At 47.7% G+C, this 25233-nt stretch overlaps 1 protein-coding gene across 6 annotated transcripts in view, besides 2 other annotated features; it reads right to left on the bottom strand.

The window, feature by feature from the left end:
* Positions 1-25233, bottom strand: part of FGD5 (FYVE, RhoGEF and PH domain containing 5) — a 123884-nt gene that overhangs the window by 21779 nt on the left and 76872 nt on the right. For all 6 annotated transcript variants that reach the window (XM_011533422.2, XM_011533423.2, XM_047447514.1 and 3 more), the window contains 7 exons: positions 15124-15284; positions 14698-14854; positions 13967-14054; positions 12340-12390; positions 11732-11790; positions 5082-5153; positions 1864-1932 (listed from right to left, as the gene is read on the bottom strand). In XM_011533422.2, coding sequence (XP_011531724.2) covers positions 1864-1932; positions 5082-5153; positions 11732-11790; positions 12340-12390; positions 13967-14054; positions 14698-14854; positions 15124-15284 — 657 coding nt within the window. The remainder of the gene's footprint in view (positions 1-1863; positions 1933-5081; positions 5154-11731; positions 11791-12339; positions 12391-13966; positions 14055-14697; positions 14855-15123; positions 15285-25233) is intronic.
* Positions 11179-12061: an enhancer, noted in NCBI's record as "H3K27ac-H3K4me1 hESC enhancer chr3:14942239-14943121 (GRCh37/hg19 assembly coordinates)". NCBI's record gives its function as "activates a minimal SCP1, AML or CMV promoter by ChIP-STARR-seq in naive H9 embryonic stem cells {active_cell/tissue: H9 hESC(naive)}" and the evidence as "EXISTENCE:reporter gene assay evidence [ECO:0000049][PMID:30033119]".
* Positions 12062-12945: an enhancer, noted in NCBI's record as "H3K27ac-H3K4me1 hESC enhancer chr3:14941355-14942238 (GRCh37/hg19 assembly coordinates)". NCBI's record gives its function as "activates a minimal SCP1, AML or CMV promoter by ChIP-STARR-seq in naive H9 embryonic stem cells {active_cell/tissue: H9 hESC(naive)}" and the evidence as "EXISTENCE:reporter gene assay evidence [ECO:0000049][PMID:30033119]".

The raw sequence follows: 25233 nt of genomic DNA, 5'->3' as shown, positions 1-25233 counted from the left end.
AGTGCTGCAATTACAGGCAAGAGCCACCGTGCCTGGCCAAGAATTTCTAAAATTTAGACTTGTCTAACATGGAATAAAAAATGTCTTCCACTATTGGACTCCAAGACCCACAGCAGGGCAAAGGCCATGTCTACACACCAGCACAGTTCCTGGCATGCAGAGGAGATGGATAATAAGCTGCAGAATGAATGAATGTTACAGCAGGCAGTGAGCTCCCCAACACTGGAGGTGTGTAAGCAGAGGTTAAAAAAAACGACCTAGAGAAAAGGACTCAGGCATCTGTGGGGGCTTTGAAACCCTTCTGAGAACCCAAATCTAAACCACGCACTGCTTGGCTCTCAGATCTCTCTCAAAATCCCCCCTGGGGTCCACTCTCCTCTTGCCTGCAGCTAAATCTCGCCCACTGCAGAACCGACCAGCCAGAGTGAGGGGTTCTCATGGGAGGAAAGAAATAGCTCTTAGGAGGGAGGGAAGGGAGGGAGACTCTGGACTTGGGTCACCTAGTGCCTCATGCAGAGCCTGAGGCCACCAGCCATCGGGGCCCAGCACACCCTGCCAGCACTGCAGGCTCCACACTTCTGCCCAGGCTCAGGATTTCTCCACCAGCACCACCAGCTCTCTCTGGAATTCAGTCCTCAAGTGGCCCCTCTACGGGTAGGGCCTATTTGGGGCATGGGGAAGACCCCACTCACGAGCAGAAGGGTCTGGCTGCAGACAAAGACTTCTTGAGGCTCACAGAACTCCTCCAACACACCACACTCCTCATGCCTCTATCCTCTGCTTAGGCCCTTACCTCTCCTGAAATGCCCTTCCTTGGTGCACCTGCCAAACTCCCATCCTTCCTCCAGGGCTGAACTCGGGTAGAATTTTCTTCAGAAAACATATGAAACACTGAGCACAGTGTGCGCACCCAGCAGACACTCCAGACACGGCGGCGCTGCCGTGGCTGTGGCTCCTCTTCTCTTCACCCCTGGCCCTCCTTAGTCCTCTTTGCTTCCACGGCACCCGAGATCCCTCCATATCGCGCTCATAACTCTGCATTTACAATGGGCTGTCTGCTTGCTTCTCCCTCCCATTGGACTCTGAAGGCTGAGGGCAAGACCTGGGATTTTTCTTTGTTTCCAGCACCAGCACACACGAGGTGCTCAGTCAACGCCTGGAACAGAGAGAGCTCGTAGACTCTTACCACAGCCTGTCTCTCCCACTGCACACGGTGCTTTGACGAAGTATGAGGAAGCTGGGAGAGGCAGCCATGGCGGACAGGAACAAGGAATGAAAGCAGAAATGCAGGAGCAAGAGAAAAACTGTGCCCAGCAGAGGGCTTAAAAGGCATGGCCACTTGGAGGTCTCAGGATTGGGGCACTCAACAGCCACTAAGGCCGATAAAGATATACCCTAGGCCTGGACACTCCCTGGTATGGAAGACTCCAGTTGTCCATAAGCAAAAATGTTATCTTACATCCTGTCTCCTGCACAGTAGAGAAAGTGCTGGACTTGGGTCACAACGCTTGGCTCCTCCTGGACTTCTGCCACCATCCCCCTGGGAGGCCTAGCTACAGCGACTTTCCTTTCTGGACCTCAGTTCTCTGAGCATTAGATAAGGTGGTTGACAGATATTTAAGGTGGGGATGTGGGTAACTACATCTTGCCAACATTCCACTCAAAATCATTCAAATAACAAATGAGTGGTGGGCGTGGTGTCCAAGGGTGAAGCTCTCAGCTGTCCAGAATGATCCTCACCCCCAAATGTCTGCTCTGTTCTACTCTCCTCTCACCCTATTCCACTTGTCCTTGAATAATGGCCCTAGAAAACCTCATAGAACTTGGCAGTTCCTGAGCTGGGCTTGGGGACCGGGCACTTACCAGAAATAGGTGCCGGGGCCGTCTGTTTTTCCCTGTTACTTTCATCAGCGTCCCTTCCTTCAGAAACTCCTGTGGGGAGAGAAGCAGAACTTGGCGGTCAGGCTGATGCCCCCTGAATCCCAGACAAGGGTGCAGGGGAGGCCCCTGAGTGGAAACTTAAATCAATCCCAGACAAGGGTGCAGGGGAGGCCCCTGAGTGGAAACTTAAATCATAAAGCCTCCCAGAGAACCCGAGAGCAGCTAGCAGATAAATCCCTGCTCATGAGAGAGGTGCTGTATATGCTAGAGCAGGGCTTGGATCATAGTCCTGAAAGACACCACCCTGAATATCATAATCCCTAAAGTCTAAATCTCAGAAGTCTAAAATCCTTAACATTAAAAATTCCAAAAATCAGGCTGGGTGCCATGGTGTGTGTCTGCAGCCTAAGACACAGTTGAAAGGATCACTTGAGCTCAGGAGTCCAAGACCAGCCTGGGCAACTTACTAAGACCCTGTCTCAAAAAACAAAACACTCACAAAATTCTGAAAATCACAATCACAGGAAAGCTGCATTATGTTAGGTGGAATTATTACCCTGTTATTGTCTTTGTTTGGAAATTAAGTATGATTTAAGGAGATGCGTGCGGGTGCCAAGTTGACAAGCGTTGGACTTGTGATGGTTAATTTTTAGGCATCAACTTGACTGGATTGAGGAACACCTGGAAACCTGGCAAAGCAATTCACCATGCTCTGTATTACATTCTGCATCATTTCCAATACTGGAGGTATAAATTGTATACAGACTTTTACAGGTTTCTAATTCATTTTATGTATTTTTTATTTTTATTTTTTTGCAAATTTGGCTTCATGAAAAGTGCATTATCACAACCAGGCGTGGTGGCTCACGCCTGTAATCCCAGCACTTTGGGAGGCTGAGGCAGGCAGATCACAGGGTCAGGAGTTCAAAACCAGCCTGGCCAATATGGTGAAACTCTGTCTCTACTAAAAATACAAAAATTAGATGGGTGTGGTGGTGCGTGCCTGTAGTCCCAGCTACTCGGGAGGCTGAGGCAGAAGAATCATTTGAACCCAGGAGGCGGAGGTTGCAGTGAGTCTAGATAGCCACTGAACTCTGCACTCCAGTCTGGGCAACAGAGCAAGACTCTGTCTCCAAAAAAAAAAAAAAAAGAAAAGAAAAGAAAAGAAAAGTGCATTATCACAATGTTGAATTTGTGTGTAAGCACTGTGTATGTACTTAAAAACACAAACTTCCTCAATGAATGGAGATATCCTCTTTGTACATTTGCATTTGTGAAAGATAAAATTTCCTGAGATCTTTGCTCTGTGGGTGGCTGCATGTACTGTGGTGACCCATCACAGTTTTTAACTGAGCTCATCAAAAGACTTCGGTTATCTGTCATGGTATTTCAGATGACCACAGTTATAAGGCTGGGCGCATACAATTACTAACCATAGTGACATACACTGATACATTTCCCTGTTTGACCTTCTTTTTTATGAATATGGTTTGTGTGCTCATGACTGTTTGACCCGTGGAACTATTGTTAGCACACAGCAGCATTTATGCTTGCAAAATTATATATGTTCGTAGTGCCTATTTTATTGTATAAAGTGGCCTATGAAGTATTCTGTTGTGTTTTTGTGTTTCTTAAATAAATTCCCGCTGGGCACAGTGGCTCACGCCTGTAATCCCAGCACTTTGCGAGGCTGAGGCAGGCTGATCACCTGAGGTCGGGAGTTTGAGACCAGCCTGACCAACATGGAGAAACCCCGTCTCTACTAAAAATACAAAATTAGCCAGGCATGGTGGCACATGCCTGTAATCCCAGCTATTCGGGAGGCTGAGGCAGGAGAATTGCTTGAACCGGGGAGGCGGAGGTTGCAGTGAGCCAAGATCGCACTCCAGCCTGGGCAACAAGAGCTAAACTCCAGCTCAAAAGAATGAATGAATGAATGGATGAATGAATGAATGAATGAATAAATAAATAAATAAATAAATAAATAAATTCCCTTTTTATTTATTATTTTTATTTATTTATTTATTCTTTTGGGAGGGAGTCTCGCACTGTCGCCCGGGCTGGAGTGCAATGGCGCGATCTCGGCTCACTGCAACCTCTGCCTCCTGGGTTTAAGCGATTATCCTGCCTCAGCCTCCCGAGTAGCTGGGACTACAGGCCACCACATCTGGCTAATTTTTTGTATTTTTAGTAGAGAAGGGGTTTCACTATGCTAGCCAGACTGATCTCGAACTCCTGACCTTGTGATCTGCCTGCCTCAGCCTCCCAAAGTGCTGGGATTACAGGCATGAGCCACCACACCCGGCCCCATAAATTCCCCTTTTAAAAATATAAATATCTTTAAAATATTTTTCTAAATTATTTTTTCCAGAATTATATTTTTGGGATTTTGATCTTTTGGGATTTCAACGTTTGGGATCATGGTGCTCAAGACTGTGTCTTTCAGGATTCTGGGTGGTCCAAGCCATGACTCCCTCCTTGGTTTGTACCCACGAGGAGTCCATTCAGAACAGAGCCTCGGAAGGTCTACTAAAACAGCTGAAGACCTGGGAACAGCTGCTATAGCCCCCGTAATTCTGGAGATACAAATAGATGTTTAAGAAACAATTTACCAAACTCATGATCACTAAATGTAACTTTACAGAATCTCAGTCCCATGAGACACCTGCTAATCTTGAGTAAAATTCCCCTGAGCATGTACTTTCATTCCTTTGTCTCTTGTCCTTTATGGAGCACAACTGGTAATGAACATTTTTTACTGTTTTTAAGCTGAGTTTTACATTTTCCATTTGGAAGCTTTAAAGAGAGTGGATTTATCTCCTCAAGAATGTTATTTTTAAGAAAATTTCTAAGGGTTTGCTCTTGGGAGATCATTTTCTGTTTTCCCAGCAACTCTGCACTGAAAATATTTGGTGCTTCCTCTCCTTGGAGGTGAGGAGAGCCACAGGGAACACAGAAAAAACCTGGCGCTGAGTCTTTAACTGCTCTGCAGGCAACACATGGGGTGGAGAACCCCAGGGAAGGCAGCCTAGGACTGCGGCCAGGAGAATCCAGTGAGCCCACGCCCACCCGCCTGCCTGCCCTCCATGGGTAGACAGCACCTGCAGCCAGGCCTGTCTGGGGCCAGCCCAGTGAACAATGGGGCTTATCGGAGCCTCGCCCAGCCACCCTCTGCCCCTACCCATGGTGGCGGCACTCACCCTTCCTGGCTGGAGGAGATCCCCTTGGCCCCGGACGCTGTGCTCAATGTGGACCAGCTTCTGCAGGTTTTCCTGTGGGTGGGAATGGGGTGAGGGAGAGATGGTCAGGGCCCCTACCAGGCGTCTTATCTCCTCTGTAAGGCATGGCGTTGCTTCTGTTTCAGACAAAAATGAAGCCCGGAAAGGCCTGCCCCAAATCCAACCTCCTGTACAAGGCAGGACTGGGATCCGAGCCTGGGTCTGCAGGGAGCCACCACCATGGCTCTATGTGCTGTGGAGCCGGCTGCCTGGCCTCACTGTGCTGTCCAGCATCCCTGTGTTTCTCTGGACAACTGCTCCTACGCTCTCTAAGCCTATGTCTCTCATGAGGTCTGGAGCATGGGGACTTCATCGGACCCAAGGCTGGCCTCAGGCCCTCCTGGCTTGTAGCCCATGAAACACAGCACCTGCAGAGGAAACTGGATCCACACTCTGTGGAGCCTCGTGGTTAGAAAAATAAGTGTGCCTTGTCAGTACTTCACTGGGTTAGCCACAAAATGTAAAGTAACAGCCCCCTGTCTCCTCTGCACAGCACCCCACAATCCTAGATACAACAAGCGCCCACCCTGTGGGCAGGTGCCCCTTGAACCTTACACAGGGCAGGTTCTAAAGTTGTAAGGTGAACATTGTGGGTAGAGAATTTGCCCTGAAAAGTCCTTTCCATTATCTATGGTTTTGGGCATAAAATCCTATGTAGTAAAAAATGAGTAATTGTGGTTCCATTTCCATTTAAGATGTAGGAAGTACAAGAGAACACTGTTCTCATTGTAGTGTGAAAAAGCCAGATAACCTTCAAAATCATAACTATGCTTCAGCCTGTGGGAGAGCTGGGGTCACAAGGCAACCGAGTGAACTGGGTTCCACCTGGCAAGCCCGTCCACAAAGGAATGAGATGCAGGAACTGCCGCACCTTTGGTGACACACAGGAGGCAGAGGTGGCTGGTGTAAAGGAAGGTAAGAAGAAAGCAGCGAAAATGTTAATGAATTCTCAAAGGACAGGTGTGGGCTGGTGCCAGTTTAGAGTAATGGGGAGCTGCAGACGCGAGGGAATCTGTCCTCACTTGCAAGCTCTCATCCACGAGTCTCTGCCACGTGCCCACGAGAAAGGCAGGGGCAAGGTGGGGCCACATGCAAAGCCCTGCCCACTTCCTCAGGCCTTCTCTCATGCAAGGCTTCAGTTCCAGGAGGAGGCCAGGAGACCTCCCACCCCCACAGCCCAGGCAAAGGTCTGCTCCTCTAGGGAAAGAGAGGAAAGCTGCACCCTAGGACGGGGGCGATAACCCCTTGGACCCAGTACTGTGCACCAATACCTTGCTGGGGGATGGCCAGAAACCTGTCTAAGGCCAGCCACAGAGCCACAGAGCTCAGCCGCCATGGAGGGGAGGGACAGGAATGCTGTGAGAGCCCGGCTCACAGGCCCTGCTTCAGATGTAGGCATGTGCCCACCATAAGTCCAGCACTGAGTAACACAGGGCAGTAGCCTGCCTCTGAGAAGAGCAAGAACATGGGGAGAGGGCCTTCCTGTGGTGCAGGGAGGGCTAAAAGCTGAATATGGAGCAAGAATGAAAGAAAAGCTCTCTGACCTACCCCACAGGTCACAGCAGCACCCACGGGAGAAGCATGAAGCCTGGCAGTCACTGAAGGTTGATGACACGGCAGCAAAACCCAAACCCAGATCAGGTGCCGACTGGACTGACCCGACTGCCCTGTACCCTACCGTGAACAGCCATGACCAAAAAAGAGGCTTACCCCACCTTGAGGGGTAAATACGATTTACCTCAGTCTCTACAGTGCTTCTACACATAATGCCTGGCCTCCAATAACAAGTTATGAGGAACACAAAAATGCAAGCAAAAAACTCCCCAACCCCAACTCATTTTCAAGAGGAGAAAGCATTCCATCAAACCACAGTGAGAAGGGACACAGGTGTCTGAGCCATCAGACCTTGAAGTAGCTCTGATTGGTGGGTAAAAGGACCTGGTGGGAAAGGTGAACACCACCCGCAAGCAGATGGAGGATTTTGGCAGAGATGGAAACCATACGTGAGCGTCCAATGGAAATTTTGAAAGTAAAAAATCAGTATCAGAAACAAAGAATTCCTTTGACAGGTTTAGCAGCAAACGGAACACAGCTGAGGAAAGACTCCATGAGCTTGAAGACAGATCAGTGGAGATGATCCATACTGAAACACAAAGAGCAGGGAAAAAGAACAGAGCATCCAAGAGGATTTCCCAAAATTAGTGAATGACAACAAACCACAGATCCAAGAAGCTCAAGAATCACAACTGGATAAAGAGCACCCCATCCCCCACAACACACACACACAGACGCATCACAGCCAAACTTCCCAAAATCAAATCAAAAGAGAAGATCTTAAAGGCAGCCAGAGAAAAGGGACACATTACACAAAGACAGATACTCATGAGTATCACAGCAGACTTTCCACCAGAAACGATGTACACCAGAAGACAGTGGAGTGGCAGCAAAGAAAAACTGTCCATCCAGGTTTCTACACCCAGGAAAAATATCTTCCACAAATTAAGGTAAATTGAACAATTAAATTAATGGGTGGTAGGAACGAGGCTTCTCACTGTTGGAGTGAGAATTTACAGATAAGCAAGGGAGGAGGCTAGTGTGGTCATGATTAGAATGGGAAACATTGGTAAAAACTCATGGTAAAAAAAAATACATAAAATACAATAAAATAAAAATAAATAAAGGCCAGCCATGGTGGCTCATGCCTATAATCCCAGCAGTTTGGAAGGCTGAGGCAAGAGGACTGCTTGACACCAGCCTGGGCAAAATAGTGGGACCTCGATCTCTACAAAAAAATAAAATAAAACTCATGGTTAGTTTAATATTCAGATACAGATGGTTATGTATGGAAATATCTACAGATATGGGTATATGCAAAAGCTGGTATACACATATATTTCTTTGCTGTCAGCTAAGGAGGTGTAAAAGAAATGATACCACATTACCAGTAAGTGCACCTAATGCCTGTATCTTGGCTGTTAGTATTATTATCCAATTAATGCAAACAGGGCTCCATGGAGAAATGACTGATTCTAAGACTGGGGCAGGAAATACACAAGGTGAGTGATCCTGGAGCACCTTGCACTGCCAGAAAGTAAGGAAGTTCTCAAAACACAAACACACACACACACCCTGAAATCTATATTGATGACACCATGTGAAAAGGGCACAGAAACCAACTGAAAACGCTCCCAATAGCCAAAGCTGAAACAATTTGAGAAATAAAATAAATAAGGAAGTGTTGGATTATAACAGTCCATACTGATATAAATGACTTCTTTATATATAATGACTAGATACACTAGCCAATGAGGGAGAAGAGACAAATCTCCCAGGCAGAGGAATTCCACATAACCTAGGTAGATATGGTGCCCTCAAGAGGAGGGAGCATAACCCCCCGCTCCTAAGAATGGGCTGCACAAACTGACTTTCTTCCAAAGGGCATGGAAAAGGCAGGGGTGAGACAGAGCAGCTTCACAGTGGAGAAACCTGCCACCAGGTGACTTCAGCCAGGTGACCAAGGTCAACATCAACAGTGGTAAATCCTGTTGCTAGTATGTGCCCTTCATATGATGGGATGAAAAGTACCTTGCTCTGTGAGCCTCTTCCCAAATAGCCATATACCCAGTCTAATCATGAGAAAAACACCAGACATTTCCACCAGAAGGGCGTCCTGCCATATACCTGACCAGTACTCCTGAAAACTGTCAAGCTCATCAAAAGCAAGGAAAATGAGAAACTACTGCAGTCAAGGGGAGCCTAAGGAAACAGGACCACTAAACAGCATGTGGGGTCCTGGAAGGGACCCTAGAACAAGACACCAGGCAAAACTAAGGAAATCTGAATGAGCTAGGGTCTTCGGTTAATAATCCTGTACCAATATTTGTGTGTTAATGTAACACATGTAGCATACTAATATACCATGGAATACTATGCAACCATAAAAAATGATGAGTTCATGTCCTTTGTAGGGACATGGATGAAACTGGAAATCATCATTCTCAGTAAACTATCGCAAGAACAAAAAACCAAACACCGCATATTCTCACTCACAGGTGGGAAATGAACAATGAGATCACATGGACACAGGAAGGGGAACATCACACTCTGGGGACTGTTGTGGGGTGGGGGGAGGGGGGAGGGATAGCACTGGGAGATATACCTAATGCTAGATGACGAGTTAGTGGGTGCAGCGCACCAGCATGGCACATGTATACATATGTAACTAACCTGCACATTGTGCACATGTACCCTAAAAGTATAATAATAATAATAATAATAAAGATGTTCATAACAGAGAACACTGTGTGGGGGACACATGGGGACTCTCAGTACTATCTTCTCAATCTTTTCTGTAAATTTAACATTGCTTTTAAACATTGTTTTAAAAAATAAAGTCTATTCAGAAAGCAGAATGATGGTTACCAGCGGCTGGGGTGCAGACTGGAATGAGGAGTTAGAGTTTAATGGGGAGAGAGTTTCAGTCTGGGAAGAGAAGTTCTGGAGATGAATGGGATGACAGCTGCATGACAGTGTGAATGTACTTAATACCTCCAAACTGCAAAAGAGTAAATGTCCCAGGCAGAGCTCCTCCCCAATCCAAGCAGGCATGGGCTAGGGGCCTCTGGTCCAGAGCAGGCCTGGTGCAGCTGTCCACAGCTGGCCCCTGCTTCCCAGCACAGCGTCCAACTTCAGCCTTGGAGAAAGCCAAGAGGGTGTCTGGCCGTCGGCTGCTCCGGTTCCTCCTCTGGGTGGGGCTGTGTGTGCAAGCTCCCCGTAGGAGGGAAGATGTATCCCTGCCTGACCTAGTTTTTCTCTCTGGAAGCAGAGGCAGCCCCGGCTAAAGGGAAATGTGGAGAACCCAGCCCATCTGCTGCTATTCCTCGACAGGGTGCTGGACCCCAAAGCACCTCTAGTTTTTGGCTGTGTTGAGGGACTCTCACTGTATGTACAAGATGCCAAAATGAGGAGGGGCAGGGAGGTCAGTGCAGAGCAGAGTGAGAGAAGAGAGGACCTTAAAGATTAAAAGGGCATGTCTGACCCACATGGAAAACGGCCCGGAAACTGGCCTGTGTATTCATACCTAGCTGATTCAGCCTCCACTCTCAGTCTACCCTTCACCAGCCAGCCCGACCTCTCTCCCTGGACTCTGATGCTACCTTGCCATCCTGTCCCCAACGCCTAGCCACCTAGCAGGTGGCTCTCTGAACTCCAACATGCACCGTCCAACCTCCATGTCTTTGCCCAGGCCAGCCCCTCTTCCTATCACCCCTTTTCTCTCTCTGCCTTCCTGGCATGTGTGCAAATCCTCCCTATGGGGACACCTCCAGGTCAACTTTTTTTTTTTTTTTTTTTAAGATGGAATCTCACTCTGTCACCCAGGCTGGAGTGCAATGCCATGGTCTCGGGTCACTGCAACCTTCGCCTCCCAGGTTCAAGCGATTCTCTAGCCTCAGCCTCCCAAATAGCTGGGACTAAAGGTGTGTGCCACCACACCTGGCTAAGTTTTGTATTTTTAATAGAGACAGGGTTTCATCATGTTGGCCAGGCTGGTCTTGAACTCCTGACCTCAAGTGATCCACCTGCCTCGGCCTCCCAAAGTGCTGGGATTACAGGCGTGAGCCACCACACCTGGCCCGTATCATCTCTTCTGGCAACCTCGGCTGGAAGGGCCACCTCCCTTCTCTGAACCCTGTGGCATTCTCTCCCATGACATCTATCATGGTCATTTGCATCCACATATTTAGTTACTCCACTAAGCGGAGGTTTCCTCAAGGGCTTGTATCTCCACTCCCCAACACAGCACAAGGTCTGACACATAGCAGGTGTCCAATAAATGCAATTTCCCTTCCTCTTCTGCCTGTGGATGACTCACTGTGTCTCTGCCACAGCAAAGTATAGCACCTCCTCGGCACACATGGCCATCATCTCCCTTCTGTGCCTGCAGAAGATGTGACTACCTGGTCACTGAACTCTTTTCCAGTGACCTAGGACTCGGGCTTGGAACCATTGTCAACACAGAGCGCTGGCATGCCTACAGCTTAGCAGGACAGTGAGCATGTGGTGACCACCTGAATGGAGCTGGGATGCGGGATCAACTCTGCCCTCTAGCAGACAGAGTCACACAGTCAGAATCAGATCTGTGCTTAGAGCCACATATTCTAGTGGACTAGTGATTCTCAAACTTTTGTGGTCCTAACATTTACCCAGGGTGCTTGTTAAAAATGCAGCTCTCTAGATCCTACATGCAGAAGCTCTGACTGGGAGGATCCAACGTGTGCCCAGGAACTAGGAGTTTACAAAGCACCCCAGGTGCTGATGGGGGTGGCCTCAGACCACAGTCGGGGCATTCCTCTCATTGTTTGAACAGTGAACTGGAGGCGCAGAGAGGGGCACACAGCGCCTGAGGTCACACATCAAGAGTCAGAGCCAGAACCCACGGCTCTCTGCAGAGTCCCACAAGAGAGACGGTTGCCTGCAGCCCCTAGGAGTGGGGCATCAGAAGGCTGACCGGAGCTGGTGGGGAGGTGCCTGGAACCTGTGTCTGAGGAAGGGGGCCGCCAGGCCGCACTCACCCCTTGCTCCATGCTGTCGTTGGCACGGTCTGTGACTTTGGAGATGAGGCTCAGTGCACCTGGGGAGGGACACAGAGCAGGAGTTGGGCCATTGCAAGAGGGGCATCAATTTTCCCCACTGTAGTGTCAGGTCACAGGCCTCAAGCCCAGCTTGGCCACTACTGCCTAGGTGACCTTGACAGTGATTTGACCACTGTCATGCATGCCTCAGTTTCCCTGGCTGTAAACTGAATATGTTATAATAGTGACCACCCTGGCAGGTGATACACAGGGACAGCCACATCGAATTGGGAGGAAACAGGGAGACTGTGGTGAGCTTTTCAGACCTGGCACCACCCCTCCTATCACCAAATTCTGGTGACTCCCCCATCCCCTCTGACGGGATGTCCTCCCGTCCTAGGATGTCCCCACAGCTGAGGTGACAGGGGACCCATCTCAGAAGAGCTGTGGGCTCTCACAGAAGTCCAAGATGTGTCATATGCAGAACCCACCCAGCTGGTGGGGAGGGGACTATATCCTGGGCCTTGGAATTGGGGCAGGGTCCAGGCTTTGGCGCAAGGAGGCAGAGCAGGCTTGAGTACCTCCCTCCGCATTCACGCTGGACTCACCCTGTGTGTTGTCGTACTCGGCGGAGTCCGGACAAAGGTTGTTTAAATAGTCTGTTGGCAGGATAAGAACCAGGAGTCAGCTACTGGTGAGGTCAGCCCCTCCTGCCCACAACTGTGGCCACCCCCTCTCTTGCCAGAGTTGGAAGAATGAAGCATCCACCCTCTCTCCCCTGCTGGCCCCATCACAATACCACATTAGCATGAAACCAGGCCCCCAGGACCACTGTCAGCATTGCTGCCACAGCTGCTTGTCCCTCACTTATCCAACAGATACCCATTGAGCACCTGCCTGGCACTGGGCCATGCCTTGGAGACAGACACAACAAGGTGAATCCATCACAGCCCACTGGGGGCGACAGACATGGCAATCAGCACAGCCGAGTGTGTTGTGTGGAACCTGTAGTGCATTCATACTCTCCAGGCTCCACATCCTCCAGCCCCTCCCCAGTGACTGCTCTTCCATCTGCTCGTTCTATTCTGGCCATGATGGCTTTCTTGAATGTGCCAAGCTTGGTCCTACCCCAGGGCCTTTGTACTTGCTGTTCCCTCTGCCTGGCACTCTCTTCAGATCTTCATATGGCTCATGTCCTTGCTTTACTGAGATCTCTGTCCAATGCCGCCTCCTCAGAGAGGTCTTCCCTGATCGCTAACACAGCAGCCCTGTTCCCTCTGTCTCCTTAACTTGCTTTATTTTTCTTAAGAGTTCTTAACAGACATTATCTTTTGGCTTTCTTATTTGCTTGTCTAGGGTGTAAGCTCTACAGTGTCACTGAGTTTGCTGTTCGATTTACTGCTGCATCTCCAGCATCCAGCATGGGACCTGGTACATAGTAGGTGCTCAATAAATAGTTCTTGGATTAGATGAATGAATTCTCTAGTCCTTGGCCCTAATGTATTTTTGAGGAGCCCCAGTTGCTACCTGGAATTACATATCCATGCCTACATATGTACTGTCTGTCTCTCTCATTAGGACATCAGGGGTCTTTGTCTATTTGGGAGGCAGCTGAATAAATGGGTCTGGAGCTCAGAACAGAGGAGTGGGTGTTTCCAGCAGGCAGAGATAGGGGAAAGGGCATAAAGAGAGAAGGGAAGGGGACCCAGGACTGAGTCCTGAGAAGCTCTGACGTTTATGGAGCAGTGGAGGATGGGAGGCCACCAACACAGACAGAGAAGGGACAGAGAGATGGGAGGGAAGTGGGAGAGAGTATACCACAGAAACCCGCGGAGGAAAGGACTCGAGAAGCAGGAAGTGGTCGTGGGTCCAGCAGGTCCAAGGCTGAAAATGTCCACTCATATGGCCAAGAGGACTTTGATGACAGGCGTGGCTTCAGTGAAATGAGGAGATGGCCAGCTGAGGCAGGGAGGAAGTGCAAGCTGGGGAGGGGTGTCGTTGGGTTTTTGTGTTTTAGGATCAGGGGTGGCCACTGGAGGGAGCGTTCTAAGGTGGCAGGAGGTGGTTCAGAGGGCTCAAAGCTCAACTGGAGGGAAAGGTGATGGCAGAGGTCACCCTTCCCCAACACCTGCCTGACATGGTCAGAGGCAAGGTCACCACAGTCCCCTCCACCCCTCCTCAGGGGCCTTCCCTGCCCTGCCGCCTCAGTCCCCATTGATCTCCTGTGGGGCCCACCTGTGAGGAGCACTTGGTACTGGAAGAGGCGTTGAACCACCCGCAGCAGCCGATGCTTCGCAGTCTGGCTGCCTCCTTGTACACTCTGCTGCTCTCAAGACAGGGAAGGAAAAACCTTATCAGAAACCCCTCCTGAAGGCACCATGCTCACAGCAGCCCATATACACTGTCCCATCCACACCTCTTCCCGGGCCAGCTGAACTTCTCCCTCATCTCCAAAACCAGGTTCTCCTCCTGCGGGAAGCCCTCCTGGATTAGCCCGGCCCTGCTGTAACTGCTCACTCCATCATGCTCCCAGTTGGTGCTACACTCAGTATCAAGCCTCTCCTAGTCCCTGCCCTGCTCTTAATGTTAGCAATGGAGGAAAGCTCCCCCTTTTTCTGCCCAGGAAAACTAGATCCCCAGTTTGTGGCTAGTGTTGGGAATTTCCTTGAACACTCCACGGCTGGGGCTCTGGCTTGGTTGGTGCTTTTCAACTGAGACAAGAAAACTACCCTGAGACCCTTACTGGGTGGCACTCACTGCACTGTCATCTGCTGCCCAACAGCGGATGTTCTGAATTCTGGGTTCTCCTCCCTGATGGGTCATCCTCTCATCCCTCTGGCCAGGTCTTCCCTGTCTGCTCCCCAGCCCCACACCTACCAAGATGTCCCACTGATTTGCATTAAGCCCTTCGCCCACCTCAACCCCTGCATCCTTACAGCAGGGTCTCAGAGGACCAAGGGACCCACCTCAAATTCACGGACAGCAGCTGCCAGCCGGGGAGAGTGGAGGCAATTCTCACTGAGCAGACCTAGGTACCTGTCGAACTGCAGGATGTGAGTGGCGTGGTGATCAAACCCCTGCTCCCGGGCCAGGAAGACGTCAGCTACCTTCTGCTGGCTCTCCCTGCAGCCAGGAATGGGGATGGGACAGTGAGAACTCAGCCTTGTAACCAACGCAGGGTTAGAAGCAGGGGGCCTGGAGTCACATCCCTGGGTGCAGATCCCAGCTCAACCCTTGCACAGTTGTTTTACTTTGAGCAAATGACTTAACACTTCGGAGTTCGGCTTTCCCATCAATCAAATGGAGATACTATTTCATATGGTGGTGTTTTTATCCGTCTCCATTCCCCCAGTGCAACAAAAGTGGAACCCGGGGGTCCAGGGACTGCTCACCAATTTGACAGCCTTTCCTCCAGCTCCTCCAGGATGCCTTGATGAAGGTCGTGGATGGCTGGGAGTTCACTCAGGCCCTGCCTCAGCTCCTCCCGGGCCAATGTGTCTCTGCCTTCATGGTCCATGTCATCCAAGGCCCTCATGACAGCTCCATGGAAATCCTGAAACACCAAAAGGTCTGTTACCCACAGGTTGATAGGACTGAGCACAAGTCCTCCTTGGCAGATTTCCCCTGGGGCTTTGGAGCCCTGGCCTCTGTGAAGACAGCAGTGAGGACTTAAGCCAGTGTCTCCAGACCCAACAGTCTCACCTACAAAGCAGAGATGACCACATGCACCTGGCGACCATAGGGCTGCCTGAGCTGACACCCAAAGAGCACCCAACCCAACGCCTGGCACAGAGCAGGGCTCAACACACACTCACTCTCCTCTCGTTGTGGCCACGTGGTGAACACTCTTCTTTTTCAAGATAGGGGAGAGATTGGGTAATTCCTTCTATAACGAAGCAGAAGGTTTTGCTTTCTCATTATTCATCTTTGAAGAGGTTCATGAGCTATGTTGTTTCAAAACGAAGTCTAAGGAAATTATAGGCATCCACCCTATGGTATATTAAGCTGTCACTAAAAATGATAAAGGTGGTGGCTATGTAGAAATATTCACATCATAGTGTTCAGCAATCAAGAAGGGGTGCAGAGCTGTTTCCACACCCTGATATACTGTGTAAAAAGTGAGCAGAGGAGAAAGCTCAAAGAAAACAGGACGACATGCAGAGTGGCTGGGTCACGAGTACAGAATTAGGAATGACTGTGAATCTTCTTGTTTCTATTTTCTAAAATCTATCATGATTAATGTACTTCTAAAACTAAACTCAATTTAATAAATATAAAAATTATATCTGGGAGCTGGGCACAGTGGCTCACACCTATAATCCCAGCACTTTGGGAAGCTGAGGCAGGCAGATCACCTGAGGTCAGGAGTTCAAGACCAGCCTGACCAACATGGAGAAACCCTGTCTCTACTAAAAATACAAAAATTAGCTGGGTGTGGTTGCGCATGCCTGTAATCCCAGCTACTCGGGAGGCTGAGGCACGAGAATCGCTTGAACCCAGGAGGCAGAGGGTGCAGTGAGCCGAGATCGCGCCATTGCACTCCACCCTGGGGAAGAAGAATAAAACTCCGTCTCAAAAAAAAAAAAAAAAGTTACATCTGGGTTCTCTAGTCTGTTCCATGTATCCTGTTTTTAATGCAAGTACTATGCTGACTTGGAGACTAAAACTTCGAAGTAAATTTTGAAGTCAGGTAGTGTGATGCTTCCAGCTTTGTTCTTTTTGTTCGGGATTGCTTTGGCTGTTGGGGGTCTTTTGTGGTTACATATAAATCTTAGGACTTTTTTTCTATTTTTGTGAAGAATGTCATTGGTATTTTGATAGGGATTGTATTGGATTTATAAACTGCCTTGGGTAGTATTGTCATTTTAGCAATATTAGTTCTTCTAATCCATGAGCATGGAACATCTTCGCATTTTTGTCTGTGTCCTCTTCAATTTCTTTCATCAGTGTTTTATGGTTTTCCTTGTACAGATCTTTCACTTCTTTGGTTAAATTGATTCCTAGGTATTTTATATCCTTTGTAGCTATGATAAATGGGATTGCTTTCTTGATTTCTTTTTTAGATTGTTCACTTTGGGTATATGGAAATGCTACTGATTTTTGTATGCTGACTCTGTATTCTGCAACTTTGCTGAATTTGTTTATCAGTTCTATTAGTTTCTTGGTGGCGTCTTCAGCTTTTTCTGAGTATAACATCTTGTCGGCTTTTATATCAGCACTTTAATATCAGCACTTAGGGCCAAAGATGAGGGATCACTTGCACCTAGGAGTTTGAGATCAGCCTAGGCAACATGGCAAAACCCCATCTTTACAAAAAATACAAAAATTAGCAGGATAGGGTGGCAGGTGCCTGTGGTCCCAGCTATTTGAGAGGCTGGGAGGATCACTTGAGCTTGGGAAGTCAAGCCTGCAGTAAACTCTGATTGCACCACTGCACTCCAGCCTGGGTGACAGAGCAAGACCCTGTCTCATAAAACAAACAAACAAAAAAACAAAACAAAAAACAGATCTTGTTGTCTGTAAACCCAGATATAAATCCACACAATCACAGCCAACTCATCTTTGACAAAGGTTCCAAGAATATACACTGGGGAAAGGACAGTCTCTTCCATAAATGGTGCTCGGAAAACTAAATAACTAAATGCAGAAGAATGACACTAGACCTCTATCTATCACTATACACAAAAGCCAAATCAAAATGGATTAAAGACTTAAATCTAAGACCTCCAACTATGATGCAACTAGAATAAAACATTGGGGAAATACCCTAGAACATTGGACTAGGGGAAGATTTTCTGCATAAGACCTCAACAGCACAGCCAATCAAAGCGAAAATAGACAAATGGGACTACATCAGTCTAAAAAGTTTCTGCACAGCAAAGGAAACAATCAACAAAGAGACAACCCACAGAATGAGAGAAAATACGTACAACCTATTCATCTGACAAAGGATTAACAACCAAAATATATAAGGAGCTCACACAACTCAAATAGCAAAAAAGCCCAAATAATCCGATTTAAAAATGGGCAAAAGATCTAAACAGATATTTCTCTAAAGAAGACATACAAATGGTCAATAGGTATATGAAAAAAGCTCAACATCATAATCATCAGAGAAATGCAAACCAAAACTACAAGGTATCATCTCACCCCTGTTAAAATGGCTTTTATCAAAAAGACACGCAATAACAGATGTTGGCAAAGATGCAGAGAAAGGGGAACTCTTGTCAGTGAGAATGTAAAATAGTACAGCCACTATGGAGAACAGTATGAAGGTTCCTAAAACACTAAAAATAGAACTACTGGGAGGATCACTTGAGGCCAGGAGTTCAAGACCAGTCTGGGCAACATAGCAAGATCTCGTATCTAAAAAAAAAAAAAAAAAAATTAGCTGGACCTGCACCTGTGGTCTCAGCTACTCAAGAAGCTGAGGCAGGAGGATCGCTTGAGCCCAGGAGGTCAATCCTGCAGTGAGCCATGATTGTGTCACTGCACTCCAGCCTGGGTGACAGAATGAGACCCTGTCTCAAAAAAGGAAAAAAAAAAAAAAAAAAAAGAACTAACAAATGCTCTAGCAATTCCACTACTGAGTAGATATTTAAAAGAAAGAAAACCAAATACATCAAAAAGATAGCTGCACCACCTTGTTTTTCACAGCACAATTCACAATAACTAAAGTATGGATTCAACCTAAGTACACCTCAACAGATGAATGGATAAAGAAAATGTGGCAATATATACACAATGGAATAGTATTCAGCCATAAAAAAGGATGAAGTCCTGTCATCTGCAGCAACACGGATGGAACTGAAAGTCATTATCTTAAGTGAATAAACCAAGCACAGAAAGACAAATATCGCATGTTCCCACTCATATGTGGTAGCTAAAAAAGTGGATCTCATGAAGATAGAAAGTAGGCTGGTGGTTACCAGAGGTGGGAAGGGGGTGGCAATGAAGAGAGGATGATTAATGGGTGCAGATATACATTGTGATAAAAGAAACAAGGCCGGCCACAGTGGTTCACACCTGTAATCCCAGCACTTTGGGAGGCAGAGGCAGGTAGATCACCTGAGGTCAGGAGTTTGAGACCAACCAGACCAACATGGTGAAACCCTGTCTCTACTAAAAATACAAAAATTAGCCAGGTCTGATGGCCGGTGCCTGTAATCCAAGCTACTCAAGAGGCTGAGGCAGGAGAATCGCTTGAACCTGGGAGGCAGAGGTTGCAATGAGCTGAGATTGCATGGCCACTGCACTCCAGCTTGGGCAACAGAGAGAGACTCTGTCTCAAAAAAAAAAAAAAAAAAAAGAAAAAAGAAAAGAAAGAAAAAGAAATAAGACCGAATATTAGATAAATCAGTACGGCAACTATAGTTTACGATAATGGACTATACATTTTGAAATAGCTAGAAGAGGCCAGGCATGGTGGCTCACACCTATAATCCCAGCACTTTGGGAAGCCAAGGCCGGAGGACTACTTGAAGTCAGGAGTTCAAGACTAGCCTGGGCAATATATTGAGACTCCGTCTTTACAAAAAATTTAAAAGGTTAGCTGGGCTTGTTGGCGCATCACTGTGGTTCCAGGTATTTGCTGAAGCAGGAAGATTGCTTGAGCCCAGGAGTTCCAGGCTGCAGTGAGCTATGGTCGTGTCACTGCACTCCAACCTGGTTGACAGAGTGAGACTCTGCCTCTAAAAAATAAATACATAATAAATAAATAAATAAAATAACCAGAAGAGAATAATTTGAATGTTTCCAGCATAAAGACAAATATTTAAGGTGATAAATATTCCAAGTACACTGATTTGCTCTTTACAAATTATATAAACATATTAAATGATCACATACCCTGAAACTATGTACATCTATGATGCATTTTTTAATAAATTAAAGAATAAAAATTTATAAAGATTTCTTTCTCACAAGAAAAATATTTTATCTTCAAATACATTTGCTCTTGCATGAGGCCTAGCTCTACAGCTGTAAATACACGGCTTGGGTGGGGGCAGGGAATCCTGAAACCACCTTGAGCTGTGGAGCAATGCATATTGGGAAAATCCCAGGGTCAGAGATCATGCACTCTTGCCCAAATGGAGAAGTTCAAATCACCCTCAACACTCAGGAAAGATGATTCCTCTACCTTGTTGGATTGTCTCCCTGATGGGGAGCTGGACTATGGGGCAAGACATTTCACCCCGCTACTAGACAGTTTTCTTTCTTTCTTTCTTTCTTTTTTTTTTTTGAGATGGATTTTTGCTCTTGTTGCCCAGTCTGGAGTGCAATGGCATGATCTTGGCTCACGGCAACCTCTGCCTCCCAGGTCCAAGTGATTCTCCTGTCTCAGCCTTCTGAATACCTGAGATTACAGGCACCTGCTGCCACGCCTGGCTAAATTTTTGTATTTTTAGTAGAGACAGAGTTTCACCATGTTGGCAAGGCTGGTCTCAAACTCCTGACCTCAGGTGATCTGCCCGCCTCGGCCTCCCAAAGTGCTAGGATTACAGGCATGAGCCACCGCGCCCGGCCTGCTGGACAGTTTCTACTGCTGGAAAGATCTTCTTTAGGCCAGATGCAGTGGTTCACATCTGTAATCCCAGCACCTTCAAAGGCCAACACGGGAGGATCGCTTGAGACTAAGAGTTGGATGGAGACCAGCCTGGGCAACATGGCGAGACTGCCAAAAATATAAAAAATTCTCCAGGCATGGTGGTGCACGCCTATAGTTCCAGCTACTTGGGACACTGAGGTGGGAGGATCATTTGAATCTGGGAGGTCGAGACTGCAGTGAGTTGTGATAGCGCCACTACACTCCAGCCTGGGTGATAGAGCTAGACCCTGTCTCAAAAAAATAAAAAAATAAAAAAAAAAGGTCTTTTGTATATAAGGATTGAAAAGTAGAAAGTGCCTGAGAGAGAGGATGGACAGCCCTTCCTCCAGGAAGCCTTTCTGGCCTTCTCTCCCCAAGTGAAGGCCAGAGGCTTTTCTACCCCTCCCTGCAGGGGAACAGTGAGGGGTAGAAAAGAGGACAGGGAGGTGGGATGGGACAGAGAGGGAAACGGGGAGAGAAAAAGAAAAACAAGGAAACAGATCCAGTGAACAGGTATGAGAGAGAGGGAGAAAGAGAGAAAAAGAAAGAGAGAGAGAGAGAAGGGGAGAGTGAGAGGAAGAGAAGGAGGGAAGGAGGAAGGGGGCATGAAGGGAGATGGAAGGAGGGCTCCAGGGTGAGATGTAGAGACTGAGAGACCCCCTCGCACTGTGCCTCCAACATCTGCCCAGAGGCGTGTGCCTGCGCCATCAGACAAGAAGAGCAGATGTGGAGTTTAAAAAGGTCTGTGCTTCCTGAACAACTCATCCTGTCCTGTGCTCACCTCCTGCTGATAGCCTGCTCTGCCAGGAACTACGGGGAGGACACGAGGAGGGTGGCCCACTCTGGCTTGCAGTCCCAAGGAGGGAGGATGAGCTGGTTCCTGCCCGAGACTGGCCAGCCCCAGTCCAGCACAATTCAAGGTCTTGGGAAACCTCTAGCCCCAACGTGAAGGTCAGAAACCCTCAAGGGGCTGAGTCTTGAACTAACGAATGGACTCTCTGGGATGAAGGTATGTGTGTTCCTATGAGGAAGCCACATGGCTAAGCTGTAAAGAGAAACTGAATGTCCTTGTACAGGAGCTATCAGAGCCTTTCCTGAAAGCATGTTTTAGAGGGCACAGGAGGTGAGGGTTGTGAGTAGGGCAGCAGGTGCAGAGGGCGGCTGGATGGAGGTGGTGGGTAATTCTGACTTCTGCCACAGCTGGCTCTGGGGTACTGGGGTCATTCTGAGCCTGGGGTGGAGGTTTCCCTGCCGACCTGGGGCAGGAGGACTCCCAACTCTTTCCCCGTGAGTCTCCATATTTAGGACCCAGCCTCCAGCCCTGCAGGCTCTTCTGAGCCCTGGCATCCCAGGAAAAGAAAGAAAAACAGCCCTGTATACTGATGAGGGCAACGATCTCTCTTGTGTGGGCATTGTCTGACAAGGGGCTTTCAACACACTCTCATTTGTTCTGGGCTGGGTTCAAGCCCAGATGCTAGATAGGGTATTGGACGACTGGGCAAGCTGTCACCTGTCTGAGTCTCAATTTCCTCACCTGTAAAATGGGGATAACAGTACCACAAAGTATAGCAGGAGGCTGCAGAGAGGCTCTTCCTGATGATTACAACTGCTTTGTCAATTGTACAGTGCTGGGAGAGAAAAGGAAGAACAGGCAAAGACAAGACCGGCTGTATTTGCAACACTCTCCAGGGAGCTTAAATATTAATTGCTCTGCAAGCTGGTTTCTCGTCTGTAATTAATTCTCACTGAATCGACTCAGTCCCAATGGGCAGGATGGCCACCACCAACATGACTCATTTCAAAAACTAGAACGTAATCAGAATTGTCACAAACATCCGTTCTTAAAACTCATGCACCAGCTGGAAGTGCTGAGTGCCAGCCTCACCATCCATCACTCCCTGAAAGGGTTCTGCTGTCTCATCAACTCATCAACTTGGGCCCATCATCATACCTGGGGGTCCTGGCAGCCATCTGAGAGGGAGGAAGTGGGTAGGAGGCACCCGTCCTCATTCCTTTATTCATTCAGCAAATATTCGGAGTGCCTGCTCTGCACCAAGCCCGGAGGAAACAGTGGGAGCATGGAGAGATGCACTTCTGCCCTCAGAGAGTTTGCAACCTGGGTAATTCTTCCAAAGCCAGGAGTAAAAAGACTATTTCAACACAGGAGCCTATGTTGTGATGGGGAAAAGCATAGGACCCAGCAAACCAGAGAAGGGAGACCTGGCTTGGCCGTGGGAAAGCCTTCCAAGGAGGCAGTGCCTATGCTGAGACAAGAGGTAAGCATCCCAGGCAGAAGGGATGCCAGGTGCAAAGGTCCTGAGGCGGAAGAGGAGCTGAGGGGTGGAGTACGGTTCAGGCGGAGTGTGTGGCCGTGTGTGCAATGATCGTGTAACGCTGAGAATATACTGAAAACCATGAAATTTTACACTTTGAAGGGCTGAAATGTACAATATGAGATTTATATCTCAATGAAGCTGTTAAAAAAAACTGGGTAAGGAAGTCACAGATTGAGAGAATATGCGTAATCCCCAGATGTGAAGGTGGACTTGTGTCCAGAATACTTAAAGAGCTTCTAAGAGCAATACAAAAAAGATACCTCAATTTTTTTAAAAAAAAAGCAAAAGAAACATTCAAAAGCGTTCCCAAATGGCTAATAAACAGAACGAAGGATTCCGTTTTATTAATCATCAGGGAAATGCAAATTAAGCCACAGGGAGACACCACTACACAATCAGCAGAATGGCCACAAGTACAGAGGCCGACAATACCAACATGTTGGCAAGAGTGTGGAACAAACACTGGTCTCATACACTGGAGGGGGAATATATATTGTTTTAACCTCTTTGTAAACCTATCTGGCAGTATCTAGTAAAGCTATGTCTATGCTTATCCCGTGACTCTGCAATTCCTCTCCTGGGTAAATACCAAGGAGAAATGACTTCAGGTGTTTATGGTGATGTTCACAGCAGCTTTCTAAAACTGGAAAGCCATCCACGTGTTCATGCACAGGAGCACAGACAACCCGACTATAGGCTATCCCTACCAAAGAACACTGATACCCGTGAACAGCTGGCTAAATCTCACAGACTGTTGAGCTAAAGCAGCCAGACACGTAACAGTACCTAATTTATGATTCCATTCCATCCAGGAACAAGCTAAACCACTCTCATGTGACAGAGAGCAAAACAGTGGTAACCTTTGGGAGGGTATGACAGGAATCTTCTGGGATGATGGAAATGTTCTATCCGGGCGAGAGTTACAAGTGTACAAACATACGCCCCTGGGGGAGGGAAGACAAGCAAGCGCTCCCCATTTTTTTCACCTCTCCTCCAAACTCTTCGTGGCCCTGCCTGCCCTCAGCACCAAGTTAAACTCCTTGGCCTGGTGACCATGTCCCTGCAGGAGCTGGTGCAGCTACTACTGCAGCTGACTGTTCACTTCTGTGTAACAATGGTTCCCCAATTTGAGTGTGCATCCAAATTACCTGCCAGGCTTAGGAAAACATAGATTGCTGCCCATCCTCCATTCCGCCTGAGTTTCCATTCAGCAGGTCTTGGCTGGGGCGGGATAATTTTCATTTCTCACAGTTTCCCAGGTGATGCTGACGCTGCTGGTCTGAAGACTATGCTTTGAGAACTACTGCTTTCTATGAATCCCCTTCTCCAGCCTCTGTGTCTTTGTTCTGCACTTCCATCATCCAATACACATCTTGCTGATCTTTCAAAGCTACTTTAAAGACCACCTCCTTCATGAGGCCCTCTTGGGTTACTTCAGCAGTCAGTCCTAAGGGCCTCTCAAGTGTCCTACTCCAGAAATTTGGGGTCAGAGCCTGAAGGGCGCTACTCTAATCTCAGAAATGTCTTTGAAGTCTATTATTTTAACTTTAAAAAAAGAATGCATATTTTACATTAGTCTCTGAAATATATCCATATCTAGTTTAATTTATTTAAAATTATGTATCTGGAGCAAAATGGAGGTTCTTAGAAAATACGCCATGTTTAGCCAGAGGCCTTTAGCCCTCCTGGGCACCTACTGCACAGCTGGGGCTGGGTTACATGTATGCCAGTCTGAAAAAGCAACAAAATACTGCATTGTCAGACTATTCACGTATCCTGTATGTTTCTGTTACCTCCCCTCTAACTAAGAGAGAGCAGTGTGCCTCGTTCACTTATTTTCGACTTCAGATTTGCTCAGCTTTGTTCAAGACTGTGCTTAATGTCTGGTACGTCAATGATTAGGCTGTTACAGATCAATTAAGTAAATATCTCTGAGGGCGGAATCTGAGCATCTGTATTTTTTTTTTTTTCGAGAAAGGATCTCTCTGTCACCCAGGCTGGAGCATAGTGGTATGCTCATAGCTCACTGCAGCCTCAAACTCCTAAGCTCAAGTGATCCTCCCACCTCAGCCTCCCAAGTAGCTGGGATTACAGGCATGAGCCACCATGTCTGGCTAAAAAAAAATTTTTTTTTTTGTAGTGATGGGGTCTCACTATGTTTCCCAGGCTGGTCTCAAACTCCTGGCCTTAAACAATCTTCCCGCCTTGGTCTCCCAAATTGTTGGGACTTCAGGTGTGAGCCACCATACCGGGCCTAAATGTGCCATTCTTAACTGACCTCCAGGCCTTTGCAAATGTTGATCCTGTTGCCAGGCACAGCCTTCTTCACTGCACCCCCACCTGGCTATTCAACACATTTTCCTCTGGGCATCCCTCTCTAACTCCAAGAAGACTGGGCTGGATGCCTCCTTCAAGTCCCTAAACCTCTGTATACCCTCCACCACTGCGTTACTATTGTTCTTTTTCCTGCCAATCTCTCTCTCTAGACCATCAGTGCCTTGAGGGCGGAGACTTTCCCTGCCATCACTCCCTGATATGTCACCCAGACCAGGTGCTCAGGAAGTTTATTTTCTTATTTT

Source organism: Homo sapiens, chromosome 3 (assembly GCF_000001405.40).
Source record: "Homo sapiens chromosome 3, GRCh38.p14 Primary Assembly".
In the NCBI taxonomy this organism is placed as follows: Eukaryota; Metazoa; Chordata; class Mammalia; order Primates; family Hominidae; genus Homo; species Homo sapiens.
Note: the sequence above shows the minus strand (reverse complement) of the source record. Positions and strands in the feature narration are given on the sequence as shown.